Source organism: Homo sapiens, chromosome 3 (assembly GCF_000001405.40).
Source record: "Homo sapiens chromosome 3, GRCh38.p14 Primary Assembly".
NCBI classification, from domain to species: Eukaryota; Metazoa; Chordata; class Mammalia; order Primates; family Hominidae; genus Homo; species Homo sapiens.
Window position 1 is genome coordinate 12,159,533 of NC_000003.12, and position 17,000 is coordinate 12,176,532.

The 17,000-nt window shown below is 44.7% G+C and overlaps 1 protein-coding gene and 1 pseudogene across 6 annotated transcripts in view, besides 1 other annotated feature; one reads left to right on the forward strand and one right to left on the reverse strand.

Moving 5' to 3' along the window:
• The window catches only part of SYN2 (synapsin II), a 187,645-nt gene that overhangs the window by 155,145 nt on the left and 15,500 nt on the right, over positions 1-17,000 (forward strand). For all 6 annotated transcript variants that reach the window (NM_133625.6, NM_003178.6, XM_006713311.4 and 3 more), the window contains 5 exons: positions 2,014-2,076; positions 2,480-2,622; positions 7,702-7,776; positions 8,844-8,946; positions 10,225-10,374. In NM_133625.6, coding sequence (NP_598328.1) covers positions 2,014-2,076; positions 2,480-2,622; positions 7,702-7,776; positions 8,844-8,946; positions 10,225-10,374 — 534 coding nt within the window. The remainder of the gene's footprint in view (positions 1-2,013; positions 2,077-2,479; positions 2,623-7,701; positions 7,777-8,843; positions 8,947-10,224; positions 10,375-17,000) is intronic.
• Positions 5,767-6,110, reverse strand: MTCO1P5 (MT-CO1 pseudogene 5; annotated as a pseudogene).
• Positions 16,486-16,565: a silencer, noted in NCBI's record as "silent region_14064". NCBI's record gives its function as "represses an Ori minimal core promoter by ATAC-STARR-seq in GM12878 lymphoblastoid cells {active_cell/tissue: GM12878}" and the evidence as "EXISTENCE:reporter gene assay evidence [ECO:0000049][PMID:35858748]".

Below are 17,000 nucleotides of genomic sequence, written 5' to 3' on the forward strand. Positions count from 1 at the left end.
CCAGTGCTTTAGAAACCCTTTCTCACTCCCAGAGCCTCAGACTCTCCAGATAGCTGGAGACAGCGCTCTTGGTGTACAAAACACAAAGTGTCCCATCACTTAGGGCAAACCTTGGACCTCAAAGCCCTCTCGAGGCCCTAGACTACATTGATTTTTATTGCATGTCCCTTCTCACTGGAGACTCTGTCATGTTCTAGAAGGTGGGACAGCTTAGAAAACAAAGAAGCAGGCTGGGCGTGGTGGCTCACGCCTGTAATCTCAGCACTTTGGGAAGCCAAGGCGGGTTGATCACCTGAGGTCAGGAGTTCGAGATCACCCTAGCCATCATGATGAAACTCCGTCCCTACTAAAAATACAAAAGTTAGCCGGGCGTGGTGGCCTACACCTGTAGTCCCAGGTACTCAGGAGGCTGAGGCAAGAGAATGGCTTGAACCCAGGAGGCGGAGGTTGAAGTGAGCTGAGACTGTGCCACTGCACTCCAGTCTGGGCGACAGAGTGAGACTCCGTCTCAAAAAAAAAAAAAAAAAAAAAAAAGTAAAAGAAAAAACAAAGAAGCAGGGGACTTGGGGGTGACTGTGACCAGAGCCTTGTCTGCTGTTTGGGCACAGTGTTGCAAGCCTCCAAATCCCAAATCTCCATGGGATTATTGCTGTGGGATGTTTCCACATGGTGCTGGACTGGATAGTGGGAGGCTGGGTTCCAATTCTGACTGTCACTGTAGCTTTGTGACTTTTGCCTCTCTGGGCCTCAGTTTTTTCTTCATAAAGTAGAGTTGAACTACGTGATTTCTAAAGCCCTTTGAAGTTCTTCTTCCCATCCTTGGCTGGCCTCAACCAGGAATGCTGAGATCCTCAGGCCAGATACCCCCAGTATCTGTTCAAATCTTAGTTCCCATAGGAGTCTGACTTTTCATCAGGGTCAACATTATTTCCTTCAAAGGATACCTTTTCATTTTGATGGTGTTAGTGATATTTGAAAAGAAGGGAATTGAAAGAGAGCTGAGTCTGACTGAAAGATGAAATGCCCGGGTTAGCATCCAGGCTGGTTCTTCATACAATGTTCAGACCAAGATAGAGGCTGATGTACTATTTGAAGGGAGCTCAGAAAGCATCCCATCTGATCTCTTCATTGGACAGATGTGAAGGCTGAGGCCCAGTGAGATACAGTGACTTGTAGAAAGTCCGTGGCAGAAGAGGACTAGAGTACTCGTCTCCTGACATCTAGCCCAGTGCTCCTTCCACTCCACAATATTACTTCTTACATCACCATTTTGTAGCAGCTTGAAATCTTGCCCTTAGAGGATAATCCTTCTTTTAAGGTTTTGTTGCTCCTCTGTTAAAGTATGGCTACCTCAGTGTAGAGTTCGCTCCCCTAAGGATCTCTCTGCATTTATAAACATACTGAATTCTTCTACCGGCTCTCTTTCAAACCCCAAGCTGGGAAGAAATGGGCCTTCACATGCAAAGCCTTGTTTGGTGGTGAGATTGGGGTATTGGTGAGCAGTGAAGAGTGTGAAAGAGGGAGAAAACAACCAGGATCATTACAGGAAAGCTGGGCCTTTGAAGGTTGTAGGTACCAAGAGGGTACATGCTGACAGGGACATCAAGATGCCAAAGATGTGTTTTTAAAATAAAAATACAGGTTTATTAAAGTACATCTACATATAGTAAAGTTCACTCTTTCAGAGATACTTTCTTTTTTTAATTCTCTTTGTCTGAGGGCCAGTCCTGCCCAGGTTTTGTCTAATGCAGAGAAAATTGACAGTGCATTTTAAAGATGTAGGGTATACCAAATAAGAGTACAGGGTTCTTGTAGCACTGCCACTAATATGCTCTGTGACCCTGGGAACTCACTGTCATTCCATGGGTCTCAGTTTTTTAATCTGTAAAGCAAGTAGATTGGACTAGTTCTTTAAAGAACCCTCCCAAGGGTATTCCCAAGAAAAATATGTGTAGGATTCCACGGAGAGATGGGCACACTCTGACAGTTTATTCATTTCTCTTCTGATTTCAGCTGACACTGCCCACGTTCCCTGTGGTGGTGAAGATTGGCCACGCTCACTCAGGCATGGGCAAGGTGAGGCAGAGAGGCCTGCTGTGCTTCAGGGTTGAACCAAGAAGGGCAGTTTTCAGAGCGCCCATTTGTGAACTGCTATTCTCCCTCTGTCACTGATGAATTCTTTCCAAAGAGAAGATGATTTGCCACCTCTAAAGCCATGAGTGTCACCCAACCAGACCTCTTTCAGTAAGCAGAATGCAAGCCACCTGCTTGGTCCTCTGGGTCCTTTGCAGCAAGTGTGGCCCTTGAGTTCTGGGAAGGGAAGCTAGGGAGAAGGGGCCTCCTGGGGAGATGTGGCACCCAGATTAGTGTCTGGATCGGATACATATTGGTGGGTTTGGAGGCTCAGGGCCCTTGTGACTTCTCAGTGTGTGTATGTGTGTGTCTCCCTTTCCCCCTTTCTGCCCTGCTCTAACATTAGGTCAAAGTGGAAAACCACTACGACTTCCAGGACATTGCCAGCGTGGTGGCTCTCACCCAGACCTATGCCACTGCAGAGCCTTTCATTGACTCCAAGTATGACATCCGGGTCCAGAAGATTGGCAACAACTACAAGGCTTACATGTGAGTAAGAGTGGGGTATGTTTTCTCCTCAGTGATGATGGAAAAGCTGAGCCTCCACATTGCAGCCAACTCTCAGATAACAGAGAGGGTGCCACTTAAGTCAGAGATTTTTTTACCTGGGTTCCTTTTAAGTCAGAGGAGGGGTCTGTGGACTAAGATGAGAAAATATATTAATATTCATTTTCACTTGCCTCTAAGGGAAATTTAGCTTTCTCTTCATTTTGAACAGAGACGACAGACTACATTAGTTACCTGTACATAGGAGTTTGTCACTAAAGGTGATTACTGATTTTCTTAGATCTTAGATCTTATAGTTGAGACACATATCTCTATGGATTATTCTCATTCCTACTTTAAAATAATGGTACTTGTTAGGCTTGCCACTACCTCCTGTTACTTAGAAACACATATTTTACTAATCACAGATTTGTTTAATATTTTTGATAACTCTAATTGGGTAGCTCTGGGATCCCATGTACTCTATCTTATACAGTTACACATCTTATATATTGTGTTCATTGGAAGGAATCCATAGGCTTCCCCAGACTGCCACAGCACAAAGTTAAAAAGTTCCTGGTATAAATATCCAGCACTGAAAAATGCTACAGAACATTAAAAGCCCAGTGCATGACTTCTCTGTAACTGTGTCCATTTGCCAGGATGGAAAGTTAAAAATTTCCTGCATTAGAATTTAGTAAAGGAAAAGATTTCAAAACTACCTGACTTTCCATAATACGCATAAAATGCAGGTGGCTTATAATTCCAATTTTGGAAATATTAATCCCCCACTTAAAGTTTACAGTGGGCCAGGCGCGGTGGCTCATGCCTGTAATCCCAGCACTTTGGGAGGCCGAGGCGGGCGGATCACGAGGTCAGGAGATCAAGACCATCCTGGCTAACATGGTGAAACCCCATCTCTACTAAAAAATACAAAGAAATTAGCCAGACGTGGTGGTGGGCGCCTCTAGTCCCAGCTACTCAGGAGGCTGAGGCAGGAGAATGGCATGAACCCGGAAGGCAGAGCTTGCAATGAGCCGAGATCGCGCCACTGCACTCCAGCCTGGGCGACAGTGCAAGACTCTGTCTCAAAAAAAAAAAAAAAAAGAGAAAAAGTTTACAGTGGTGTTTTCTTTACAAAGAAAGAACATTATTAATATATAGATTTGATCTTGGTCACTCAGGACTTCAGCAGACTTCAAGGTTGAGCAGCCTTCCCTTTCTCTTCCCCACCTGTGTCTGTTTTTCTTCTCTTACCCCCCCTTTTCACTACTTACACTCCCCACCCCTTGAGTGAGTTAGGCCCCCTCCCTGCACTCCTGTCCCATACCACCCTTCACACACCTCTTGGTTAGCACTTGCCACACATGTGTTTTGTGTCACCCTCCTCCTCCAGACTCTGAGTTCCTTGTGAACAAGAATGATGGAATCATCTCTGCATCTCCATTACCATGTATAGCAGCAGAAACATTAATAGGCACCCAATAAGTATTCAGGGAAGAACCTTTATGGAAAACTGAGGCATAGAATTTTTTTTTACCTTTATTGTCTAGATTTGTACTTTTTTAGTTTACAATTTTATATTTATAATCTTCCTGCTTCCAGAAAATAATTTAGGATTGCTTTAGAAATATGCGCAATGTGGCCAGGTGTGGTGGCTCACATCTGTAATCCCAGCAGTTTGGGAGGCCGAGGCAGGCAGATTGCTTGAGCCTAGGAGTTCAAGACCAACCTGGGAAACATGGTGAGACCCCATCTCTACAAAAAATACAAAAATTAGCTGGATGTGGTGCTTGCCTATAGTCCTAGCTACTTAGGAGTCTGAGGTGGGAGGATCACTTGAGCCTGGGAGATCGGGCTGCAGTGAGCTGTGATTGCACCACTCCAGCCTGAGTGACATGGGACCCTGTCTCAAAAAAAGAAAAGAAATATGCACAATCTAAGACAGAATAATTTAAAAACCATTATAAAAACTTGCTAAAAGAAGCAAAAAAATATATACCTTCAGGCACCTAGGAAAGCAGATTACCTATCTTTTAATTTTAAAATCCCCTAAATAAACACAAAACATTAATGACAACAGTGGAGTAAAAGTGTCTTGATCCTTAAAAGAAGACACCTAAATTTTAAGGGTTAAGGTTTCAAAAAACAACTTAAACTGAAGCATAAAAAAAGAGACTTCTAAAACATTGATGAAGGCTGGGTGACCAGAGAAGCTTTAGATAACATTTATTTACTTTTTTGGTGTGCAAGGGACCGTCAGTTATTGGAGAAATGTTTAGGCCCTCTTAGCTTCTCCTCACCACACTTCTTCCCCAAACTTGTGGCTATATTCCTGCTCTCAGAAGAAGGAATTTACTTAGCAGTAGCCAAGATTAGGCTTGGGATTCTTTTCGTCTACCCCAGCAATCACCGTGGAGATCCAGAGACAGCCACTTTGGTGTGAAGAAGGTACCATTCCTGCCTCCATCTGCAGTAGGCAATAATGTGGGTCAGCTGTGGAGGTCATATGATTTTTGGGTCTAGAGAATGGCCTCTCAGTGTCCCCTTTGCTCCCACATGCCCCAGGTAGCCTGTATGGATCTATGCCCTGCATCCCATTGTTAGAGAATGGTGTGAAGTGTTGGGGAGCTTTGCAAACTTTAAAGTGCCATGAAAATGTAAGGATGATGTTATTTTCCACTCAAAAAGGATTTTAACCTATAAATCAACAGGGTTATATAATATTTTTTCTAATATCTTAAATATTGAAAAAGTCATAGAGGTCATAGAGGTTATGGGACTGGCTTGAAACCAATTATATGAGGTTCAGTTTCTTCCTTTTTTTCTTTTCTTTTTTTTTTTTTTTTTTTTTGAGACAGAGTCTCGCTCTGCCACCAGGCTGGAATGCAGTGGTGCAATCTCAGCTCACTGCAACCTCCGCCTCCCTGGTTCAAGCAATTCCCCTCTCTCAGCCTCCTGAGTAGCTGGGACTACAGGCACCCACCACCATGCCTGGCTAATTTTTTGTATTTTAGTAGAGACGAGGTTTCACCATGTTGACCAGGATGGTCTCGATCTCCCGACCTCGTGATCCACCTGCCTTGGCCTCCCAAAGTGCTGGGATTACAGGCGTGAGCCTCCGGCCCTAACTTCCCGATTTTCAGTATTTATGTAAGTGGGTCCTTCAAATGTATGATATGGTGATGGGCAGCCATGAAGTCATTCAAAATTTGTGATTGAAAGGTTCTACTACTGAGACTTCTCATTTTGAAGTGAAGCCTTCTCAGATTATGAAAATTATTAAAATTACTATTAATGAAATAAATGAGCCTATAGATGAAACAGTGTTTCACATTGTATATGCATCAGGGCAGTAGGAATATCCTGATAAACCAAGGAAACATCGTGGGAAGAAAGTTAACACCTACAGACAGAATTGTAAAATGAATTTTGGCTCAGGTTGAGTTGGGTATGCAACCTGAAAATAGTGGGAGTCAGTGTACAAATCCAAAGTTTGTGAGACTCTATTATGTGCCATGGCTCTGTGCTGGGGACATGGAAGTGAGTGACTCTCTGCCCCTGCCTTGAGCAGTCTGGTCACAGGGACACATTTGTAAACCATGAATGTTAAGAAGACAGTTATTTTTATTATGATTCTGTCTTCGTGTTTCTACTCAGGTTTTGCCAGCCACTCAGTAGTTTGTTTCTTTGCCTTTCCTGAATTAGGTAGTGGAGTGTAGGGAAAAGCACATCATGTGAGGAAACCAGGATTCCTGGACTTTTATCTCATACCTGTTTGGACTAGATATATAATCTCGGACAAGTCCTCTAACCTTTCTGAGTCTTACTCTTATCTGTCAAGCAGGGGCAAGAATTTCAGCCTGCTCACAACAGGGGGTTTGAAATGAGGGGTTTGGTGAGGAGGCACCTTAGAAAGCAGTCAGTACTGTCCAAGCATAAGGACTGTTGTGACCCTGTTCGTTAACTCATGGGGCCACCTCGTGGTTCTGAAAAATGAGCCATATATCTAGGTTCCTCAGTGTCTGAAATCAGATCTCTGGGGAGGACACTCTCTAACAGTATTGAATGATAAGGGCAGCATATGAGGGGCTCTGTCGACAGTGTAAGCAGGACTCTTCTGTCCCCTAGGCTATCTCCTTCCTCTTGACTGTGTCTGGATGAAGGCTGATAATTAAAAAGACATATTTTGGGTGTTTATAGTTAATTTAAACCTGTATCAATTGGTCTTTCTGACAGCCCTGTGTTAACAGATAACAGGCTCAGAGGGGTGAAATGACTCTCTGAAGGTCACCCAGCCCATCAAGAGCAAATCCAGAACCAGAAACCAAGTAATCCACCTCCTATTTAGTCTAAGACTAGTTGACACCAACACATATTCATGGATGGAGGGTGCCGTGGGCACAGCAGAGAAGAAGCTGATGGCTTGATGCCATCGGCTCCATTTGACAGACAAGGCAACTTAACCCTGAAGAGTTAATTGACTTCCCCAGAGTCACATTGCTAATATTATAGTGGCCTTCAGAAGTTAATAATGAATGAGTGAGTGAGCCAGTAAAGAAGATATTGGAAGATATTCATAAAGAACCCTGCGGGAGTTTCAGGATTGATGGAATTCAGTTTGTATGTATCAAGTCAGTATAGATACTGAATGGGTAGGCGTCTGGGAACACAAGACACGATATGTACCTTCAAGTGGTTTTCAGGCTTGTGGAAAAATCTAAGCTTAAGACTCAGATCAAATAACTAAAATAAAAAGTAGATTTAAGATTGAAAATCAGGCAGAAGCAAAGTCCTGTAGAAGTTCTAAGGACAGTGAAAGGTCATCCGGTTGAGAGATCAGGGCAGGCTCTGTGGAGCCAGAGCTGTCTGGGCAAGACCCTTGTAGAGAGGAGGAGGGCATTGCAGGTGGGGATTTGGCAGAGGCACCCAGGCTCTAGGCTCAGCAGACAGACCCCTGGGCTACTTGTGGGAGAAGCAGGTGTGGAAAGCAACAGTGAACTAAAATTCTGGAAAGTTGCATGCCCTCCTCTTGCTGGTGTGGCTCACTGCCTGTCCTATCCTGGTGGGATCTTGTTGCAGGAGGACATCGATCTCAGGGAACTGGAAGACGAACACTGGCTCTGCGATGCTGGAGCAGATTGCCATGTCAGACAGGTGAGTTGAGAGAAGGAGTCCAGTTTCCAGCCCAGTGAGAGGGAGGCTTCCTTAGATGAAGAAGTTTAGGAATTAAGCTCTGTCCAAAGGGAGTCATGGAGCAAACCGGACAGATAAAACACAAAAGGCCCAAGTAGCCCATTTAGCAAGATCAGGCAGGACTGATGATAGAGAAAGATGATAGAGTTAAAGACTGCACATACCATAGGTAAAAGCTTCCTGAGGCCTCACCAGAAGCAGATGCTGGCACCATGCTTTTTGTACAGTCTGCAGAACCATGAGCCAAAATAAACCTTTTTTTTTTTTATAATTACCTAGCCTCAAGTATTCCTTTATAGCAACACAAAACAGACTAATCAAGGAGTGAGGTGTTGCTATAAAGATAGTTGAAAATGTGGAATTGGCTTTGGAACTGGGTAAGAGGCAGAGGTTAGAAGAGTTTGAAGGGCTCAGAAGAAGACAGGAAGCCAAGGGAAAGTTCAGAACTTCTTAGAGACTGGTTAAGTGGTTGTGACCAAAATGCTGATAAAAATATGGACGGAGAAGGCCAGGCTAACAGGTCTCAGATGGAAATAAGGAACTTGTTGGGAACTGAAGCAAAGGTCACCCTTGCCACTCCATAGCAAAGAACTTGGCCGCATTGTGTCCGTGCCCTGGGGATTTATGGAAGGCTGAATTTAGGATTGATGGCCTAGAGTACCTGGTGGAAGAAGTTTCTAAGCAGCAAGTGGTCAAGAAGTAGCATGGCTTCTTCTAACAGCCTATGGGAAAAGACTGTACATACCATAGAAGCTCCAAGAAAGGAGTAATTGGCATGGGCTGGAATAGCCAAGGAGGCCTTCTAGATATGGTGAGAACTGCTTTGGGCCTGCAAAAATGGGTAGAATCTGGAAAACAGATAGAGGAGGGCACTGTAAATAAGGGTATGTGCTTGATACGGGTAGATGGAGGGAGCAGTGGGAATGGGAGGTGGGAGAGATGGAGGCAGCAAGGAGAGCCTGACTGGCAAGCAAGCTTTGTGGTGAGCGAATTGCCCCAGCTTCAGGACACCTTCCCATCACCTCCAGGTACAAACTGTGGGTGGACACCTGCTCTGAGATGTTTGGCGGCCTGGACATCTGTGCTGTCAAAGCTGTACATGGCAAAGATGGGAAAGACTACATTTTTGAGGTAAGTCTGGACCAAGCAGTAAGAGGTAACTCCTAAGGCTTAAGAACTATGTGGGCAGCTCAGACTGCCTTTAATTTGGAGTCTCCTGAACCATGGAAATGTTCCAGCAAGATCAGTGGGTAGCTATTGTTTCTAACCTGCTAGGCTGACCCACGCCATGGGTAAAAGATGTTGAATACGGGTTGATGGGATCCTAGCCATTCCTCTGGGAAGACTGTGGTGATGTTACCATTCTCTGTCTCAGAAAGCCACCCTTGGGAGTCATTCTGTCCAACCTGCTCATTTTACAGGTGAGGAAACTGAGGCCTAACACCATGAGCATGTGCCCAAGACCACAGGGTGAATCAGTGTCTCAGCTGGGCACCAGATGCAGGAGATTTCTTCTTAGTGTCTCTCTGAGCCTTGGAGACACTACTCAGCCTGGTCCTCTAACACAACTTTGCTGACTCCCTTTTACCTGTTGTAAAGGAAAGCCAGTGGCAGTATGAATCCTTCACACACATTCCTACCCAATCTGGCTGGGAGCAGGAAAGGCTCCTTACTAGGAGTTGGTGGTATTTCCAGGATATTGGTGTCAGGAGCCCAAAGTAGGCTTCAAATTCAGAATCTATCTCATTTCCTGCATGGTCTATAACCTTCTAAATGGTCACACCTCTCCTCGCTAGGTGGGCCTCTGTTTTCTCATCCATAATTGAGAAAGTTGGACTATGGAGTCTGTGAGGCATACACTTTCTAAAGGAGGAAAACATTGATCTGAGCCTTGAGGTACAGGAAGAATCAGGATTGGTGGTAAAAAGGGAGGGCAACCCAGTTCAGGTACAAAGGGATGAACCTGGTCATTTAGTGAGCAGAGAGTGCTTGGAGACAGAGATTCTGTGGGTGAAAAGTAACAGAGATGAAAAGCACATGCTCCTAATCAGAGATTTAAGGGGATGCCTTTCACATCTACGTGCTCCCCTGCCTGCAAACTTTTGCGCCCTGAGGCTTTACCCTCTCCTTGCTTTCTACCTCTTCTGGCTACCTTCATCCAGCAATTTTTGGTCTCACTGAGCCCTGGCACGGGTAAAGCTTGGGGAAAAGACCTGAGGCAAAGGTTTGTAGAAGGAAGGGACAAAGATCCTATTTCTGCAAATGATCACACTTCCAGCTGAAGAGAAGAACTCCTGCTTCATCTCCAGTCCATCTCTGCTGGCTTAATTCCTACCCATTCTGAAAGATTGTACCAGGCCATTTATGTTTCCAGACCCCTTTCCTCACCTGGGACACATCTCCCACCAGGTCATGGACTGTAGCATGCCACTGATTGGGGAACATCAGGTGGAGGACAGGCAACTCATCACCGAACTAGTCATCAGCAAGATGAACCAGCTGCTGTCCAGGACTCCTGCCCTGTCTCCTCAGAGACCCCTAACAACCCAGCAGCCACAGGTAAGCAGCTAGGAAGAGACATAGCAGAGCCAAGAACCATTCCCAAGCCCACTCCTCTAGATGTTGATGGCTAAAGAATGGAGTACAGGCCAGATGCCCACAGGCCTAAATGGGATCTAAGGAGACATCTCCCTCTTCCTTCCCTTCCCTTTACCCTGGAGTCCTGATTATCTTCTACCACCCCTTATAGGGGCCTTCTCAGCAATCTGCAATATCAATTATATAATTAACCAGAGGAGCACTGGTTCCCTTTCCTCTGAACCTGAAGTCTCCAGGGAACCAGAGCCAGTTTCTCCTGGGACTCAGGATGCTCCCATTTTTAAACTGAGAGGTATTTGAGGAAGAGCTGGGTCACATCACTTACTGTCTATTCACTGCTTCACTGTGTTGAGCCTGCTATCTTCGTAAATAAGGAAGTCTCTTTCTGAGAAATGTGCTGGTCTGGAAAGGGGAGAGTCAGGTCCCTCATTCTGGGAGAGAGTGACAAGGCAAAACTCAAATTAGAAATCTTTCTTTCCTAAGAGAGAAGTGGCCTTCTTCAGTTGGCTGTAGTGCATGACTCATGGCCAATCACACTCATGGCAACAGCATTCCAGCTGCGGGTCTAGTGGGAAATCCACACTAAAGTTTTGTGAAACATCAGGCCCTGTGGCAGGGAAAGGTCTTTATTCCCATGCAAGAGGTATCTCATCTTTCAAAAGTATCCCCAAAGTCCACTAAATGTTTATATTATGAAATGGGAAGAACTTGGGACAATGAATCAAAAGCTGAACCTTAAGTCTAGCTCTTCCTCTAAATAGCTGTGTAAGTTTGCAGGGAAATGACTAGCCTTTCTTGGTCTCAAGTTTTTTTATTTATTAATGAGAATTCTCTCGGCTATCTTTCCATCAAAATCCAACTTTAAACAGGGAGGTAGAATAGAATAGTGATTCAGAGTGTGGGCTTTGAAGTGAGAACTACCCAAATTTGAATCCTAGACTCTCCATTTATTAGCTTCGTGACCAGCACATAAAACAGTGTAACAATTGATAAGTCAGTTCCTTCTCTGGATCTCAAGTTTCCCCACTGATATCTAGAGACCTTTTGTGCTCTGAAAATTTCTTTGAGTAGAATACTTCCGTCTTCACTGATCCTGATAAATGGGAACTTCTGGGCTAATAAATGTGGACCCTGACTCTTTCTGGGTATCTGAGTTGAGAATAGCCCTGTATGGTGGGATGTTATATATTAGCTCTTATGAGTGTTTTAGTTACTAGAGAATCACAGTAGGGTAACTAGGAAAATGAAAGTTAATTGCCTGTTAGAGATACAAACCCACTATTTAATTACTATATTTAACTAGAGATGATAAAAAGATTTTTATGGTTAAAAAAATATCAGGCCTATGGTGAGATTTTATGATTTTGTAAATGTGATGGAATCAAGATATTTGAATCCTAGTTCTGCCTTTTAGTCCACACTAGATTATGAGAGAGAATCTGTGAACCAGGTTACTGCTTGTCCCTGCTCTAGCAGAAGAGTGACAAGTAGTCCCTTCTTCCCTTTAATACTGAGAAAAACAGAGAACATCTGGTAGTATCTTAAAGAATTTATGACAGGGTAAGAGAACCTGACATTACCCAGACAGAATGGGCTGCTCTGGGATTCTGTGAAGGGCCCTTAAGTACTTATAAAAGTGTAAACTTTCATGGCCTTCTACAAGGAAAGTCATTCTGAACTAAAGTAAAGGCCGTGCTAAGAGTCAGGAGACCTGCATTTAGCCCTGTCCTTGCCACTGCTTCACCAGGTGACCTTGGGTAGGTTTATTCCCATTTCTGTGCCTCAGCATCTTTGTGTGTAAAGTTAAAGGTTGAACACACTAAGACACTTTTAGCAAGACAATCCATATTATACAAAAATGGTATCTAAAGTATAAAAGTTAAGCAAAGAGATAATTTATAGAACAAAATTTTCTACCCCACAAAAAGCATTAGCCCTTCTTTGGTATAAGCCCCTTATTTTATAAACATTAAGTGTTGTAGCTTAAACATTTTGTAAGAGAAATCTACAATGTGTCAGAGTCAAGGCAGAAAACAGCAAGGAATAAGCTCCCTAAATATAGCATCTCTTGCAGAAATTCCTTGTAGCAAAGTCAGTTTGACTCAAGGATAAGGTTGAGCTTTTCTTTGCTCAACCTTACATTCATATCCAAAGGATATTGTGGAATGCATACCATGCTGGGAGTCAGGACACACAAGGGCTAATCCTCACTCTGCTATAACATTATGTGACCTTGGGCAAGTTACTTCCCATCTCTAGACCTCTGTTTCCTCACCTATAAAATGGAGTTGAATTAGATGATGTCTAGATCCCTTTCAATTCTAAGGCCACATAATACCTGGAGTTAGCCAAACTGCAAAGTCTGAAAGCACAATTCTCCATAAGACCCTCACTCCTAACATCACCTGAAAGTTCAGGAAGTTCCTAAAACCACTCTCAAGTTTGACAGTTCTCTGGAAGAACTCACAGAACTCACTGAAAGCTATTATACTCACAGTTACAGTATATTATGGGGAACGGATACAGATCAAAACTAAGCCAAAGGAAGATGTGTAGAGCAGAATTTGGGAGGGTTTCAAACACAAAACTTCGATTAGTTAGGACTCATGACTCATTCCCCTCCTGGCTTTGATATGTGACAATATGCATAGAGGATTAACAACGAGGAAAGCTCCTCTGAGCTTCAGTGTTCACAGTTTTTATTGGGGCTTCATGATGTAGGCATGACTGGTTGATCACCTGGTTGAACTCAGCCTCTGGCTTCTCCCTCCTTGGAGGTCAGAATAATACCATGTGGCCTGAGGGGCCCACTGTGAGTGACAAAGACACTCCTATCACTCCAGAAACTCCAAGAGTGTAGTGGTTACTTCTGAGGAGCCAAAGATGAAGGCCAGAATTCTCTTAGGGAAAAGCCAAATTCTTTACTATACACATGATTAAGTTAATATAGTAAATGTTTCTCAAATACTTTCAGCCCATGTGGGCAAGGACTGTGCCTTATTGATCTGCATTTCCATTGACTAACATGGAAATGCAGAGTGTGTGCTTAAAATTAGTTAATAGCCTTAGGACTTAAAGTTGCTGTCCAAAAGATTTATATTCTAAATTGAAATAATGATTGAATTCACAGAGGTCATCACCATTTCTCAGATGGTATCTTCTGGTAACCTCTATTAGCTTCCTTCTGAGCCTTGTGCCTTCACCTCAGGCCACCCAGAAGGCAGAAGACACCCAATAGTTGGCCACACTTGTCAAAATGCCACAACTTGAGCTTAAAGCCATGACTGTACTGGTCATATTCCCACCTCCCATTTCTTCTAGATAATAGCACATTTTCTTTGGTTAAATTTGAGCAGACATTTCAGCCATCATGAGACCAGGACTATGGAGCTGTCAAACTAGATTACCTTTGTGTCCCTGCTATCACATCCACCCACTTATCTGCACCTCCACCCACATGAATCTGCTCTAAGGCTCACCCTCCACTTGTGACCTAGATTCCATCTCCTTTTTGTTTTCAAGTATCTGCTTTCTTCTCCACCATCAATTTCTCTTTTTCCAAAAGATTATTGGAAAGTTGTTTTAGCCACCGTCTCCCTTTTACCACATTTTCTCTCCTATCCTCTCTAGTCAGCATCCCGCTCCAACCATCCCACTGAAATGGCCCTTGTCAAAGTCACCTCCATGAGGCCAGACGCAGTGACTCACGCCTGTAATCCCAGCACTTTAGGAGGCCGAGGCAGGTAGATCACGAGGTCAGGAGTTCGAGACCAGCCTGGCCAATATGGTGAAACCCCGTCTCTACTAAAAATACAAAAATTAGCTGGGCATGGTGGCAGGTGTCTGTAATCCCAGCTACTTGGGAGGCCGAGGCAGGAGAATCACCTGAACCCGGGAAGCAGAGGTTGCAGTGAGCCGAGATCGTACCAGTGCACCTGGGTGACAGAGCAGGACTGTGTCTCAAAAAGAAAAAGTCATCTCCATGTCACTGAGTCCAGTGGTCACTTTTGTTCTTATCTTACAGACTTTTCAGTAGCATTTGACACAGCTGACTACTCCCTCCTCTAAACACTATTTTCTAGGCCCCTGAGGCCCCCCCGCCCATCGCTTGGTTTTCATTCTACATCATTGGCTTCCCCTTCTTGGCCTCCTTTGCTGATTCTTCCACTTCTGCTGAGTGTCTAAACATCAGTGCCCCAGAACTTGGTCAACGTACATTTGTTGGTGGTCTTGGCCAGCCTGTATCTATCTCCTGCCCTGACCACCCCTTCAAACTCCAGACTCACATTTCTAACTCTTGCTTGACATCCTTACTTTGCATATCTTAAAGGCACCCTAAATATAACACAGCCAAAGCAGAACTCTAGTTTTTCCCCTTAGTCCTGTCCCCCCAACATTGTTTTTCCCTAGCAATTTATGTAGGCCCCTACCTGCCTCTTTCCCTTGTACTATCCTAACTGTTGCTCACTGTGCCCTAGCCACACTGGTAAGGGCCTTTGTATTAGGCTGTGCTCTCTCTCTGAAATGCTCTTTCTTCTTAGTTTTGCATTTTTTTTGAGACAGAGTCTTGCTCTGTCACCAGGCTGGAGTGTGGTGGTGCATCTCAGCTCACTGCCACCACCGCCTCCCGGGTTCAAGCGATTCCCCTGCCTCAGCTTCCCGAATAGCTGGGATTACAGGCACGCGCCACCACGCCCGGCTAATTTTTTGTATTTTAGTAGAGACGGGATTTCACCATGTTGGCCAAGATGGTCTCGATCTCCTGACCTCATGATCCGCCCACCTTGGCCTCCCAAAATGTTGGGATTACAGGCATGAGCCACCGCGCCCAGCCATAACTGACTTTTCCTTAACAGTATAACTGATACTTCCTCAACTATCCAATCCAAAGCTGCCACCTACTCACTGGCTACCACCTCTCCCTTCTTTAATTTTCTGCATAGCACTCACTATCAGTTGAGATTATTCTTGTCTATTTAATTGTCTGTTCTACTAAAATGTAAGGTTCTCAAGAGTACAGACTTGTTTATGGCTATATCTCTAGGGCCACTGTATCTAGCACCTAGTAGCCATTTAAATACATCAAGGGTGTACCAAGGGGAGACAGGTGAGAGTGGTTTGCCCAGGTGCAATCAGTTGGCTATAGAAAATTTTTAAAATAGCAAAACTAAGTTGGCCTGCTTTTTATTATCAACATATGATAGCAATTCTATACAAATGACATTGATAAAATACTCTTCCCACCAAGCAAACCACTCCTGCCCCACTCCCTTTGATGTGCCATTGTAATACATATTTGTTGAGTGAGTTCACCATTTGGAAGAGGCATCTTTAATAGCCCTATCAGCCTATTGGATTGATGTCAGGATCCTTTGGATGATCTTGGCAGTGTGCAAGTGGAAAGGATGTGAACCGAGGAACATTACCTGCATCCAAGCCAGGACTTTGCATAGCCAGCTCAGCCCTTAGGTGTTGTCACTGACTTGCTCACAGGCATTGTCACCATTCCTCACAGGCACCTCTTGCTGGCCTCTTTCTTCTGTGGCTGTGGAAGCTCAGGCTGAAAGAGCTTCTGGTCTGAGTCATAAGCCCTAGGAGCTGCTCCTGCCCAGAATTCTAGACCAAGACCAGGACAGACCTGTGGCTAGCCACTTGTCTACCCTTCTCTGTTTCTCCTTCTCTATCGTTGTCCTTAGCTCCACCATGAGTGCTTTCATTTATTTGATTCTAGAGGAACACCTAAAATGGGGACAGGGAGCTGGGGCTTGGGGTGAGGATGGTGATTAGAGGGCACACCTTACCTCTAGCCTGGGATGGATTAATTATAGAACGCAAAGAGCAAAGACATGGTGGTGGGCCCAAGCCAGCTGCAGTACACATTTCAAAGGAATAGAGGAAGGGGCATAAGAAGCACTGGCCATGTCACCAAGAGCAGGGAGGTGAGTGGTAAAGCCTGATCTGGTTGATGACAGCTTGGCCTCAGGCCTGGACAGACTGCCAGCTTGCGGGCTGCTGTGAGGGTCAGCAGCAGCAACTGACCCTCTGTACATGGACTCTGAAATGCTTTAGGGAGACTGTTCTCGAGGTGGCAGTGACACCTGGTGGTCACTCATGGCCAAAGCCTCCAGGCTCTATACCTGCAGAGTCTCTTCCCTGTACCACTGCCTTCCCACCACCCCTCCTACACATTCACTGACTTTAGGGGTCTCTTGTCTAGGATCTGAGCTGGGCCTTGCATCCTAGGGCTCTGATGAGGTGTGGGCTGCTCCTCAGACTCCCAGGAAACAGGGAGAGAACTTCAGGGGGACAGAGCTTTCAGGCCATGCCAGTAAAGATGGCATCTGGTCCTCTCCTTCATGTGGCTAATGTTTTTTTCATTTCTCATTATACTGGTTCCACTCTTTTTATTTTCCTGTAAAATTCTCCAGAGCCAGAAGGCTGAATTGCTCATGCAGGAATTTCAGACACTGACGGGCTGAGGTGGGAACTGGTCTCTCTTCAGTGCCCCTCATTTATGCCACAGAGCTGGCTTCCCGTTTGGCTGGTGGGTTAGACCCATGGGGAATGATTCTAAGACTTATTCTTTG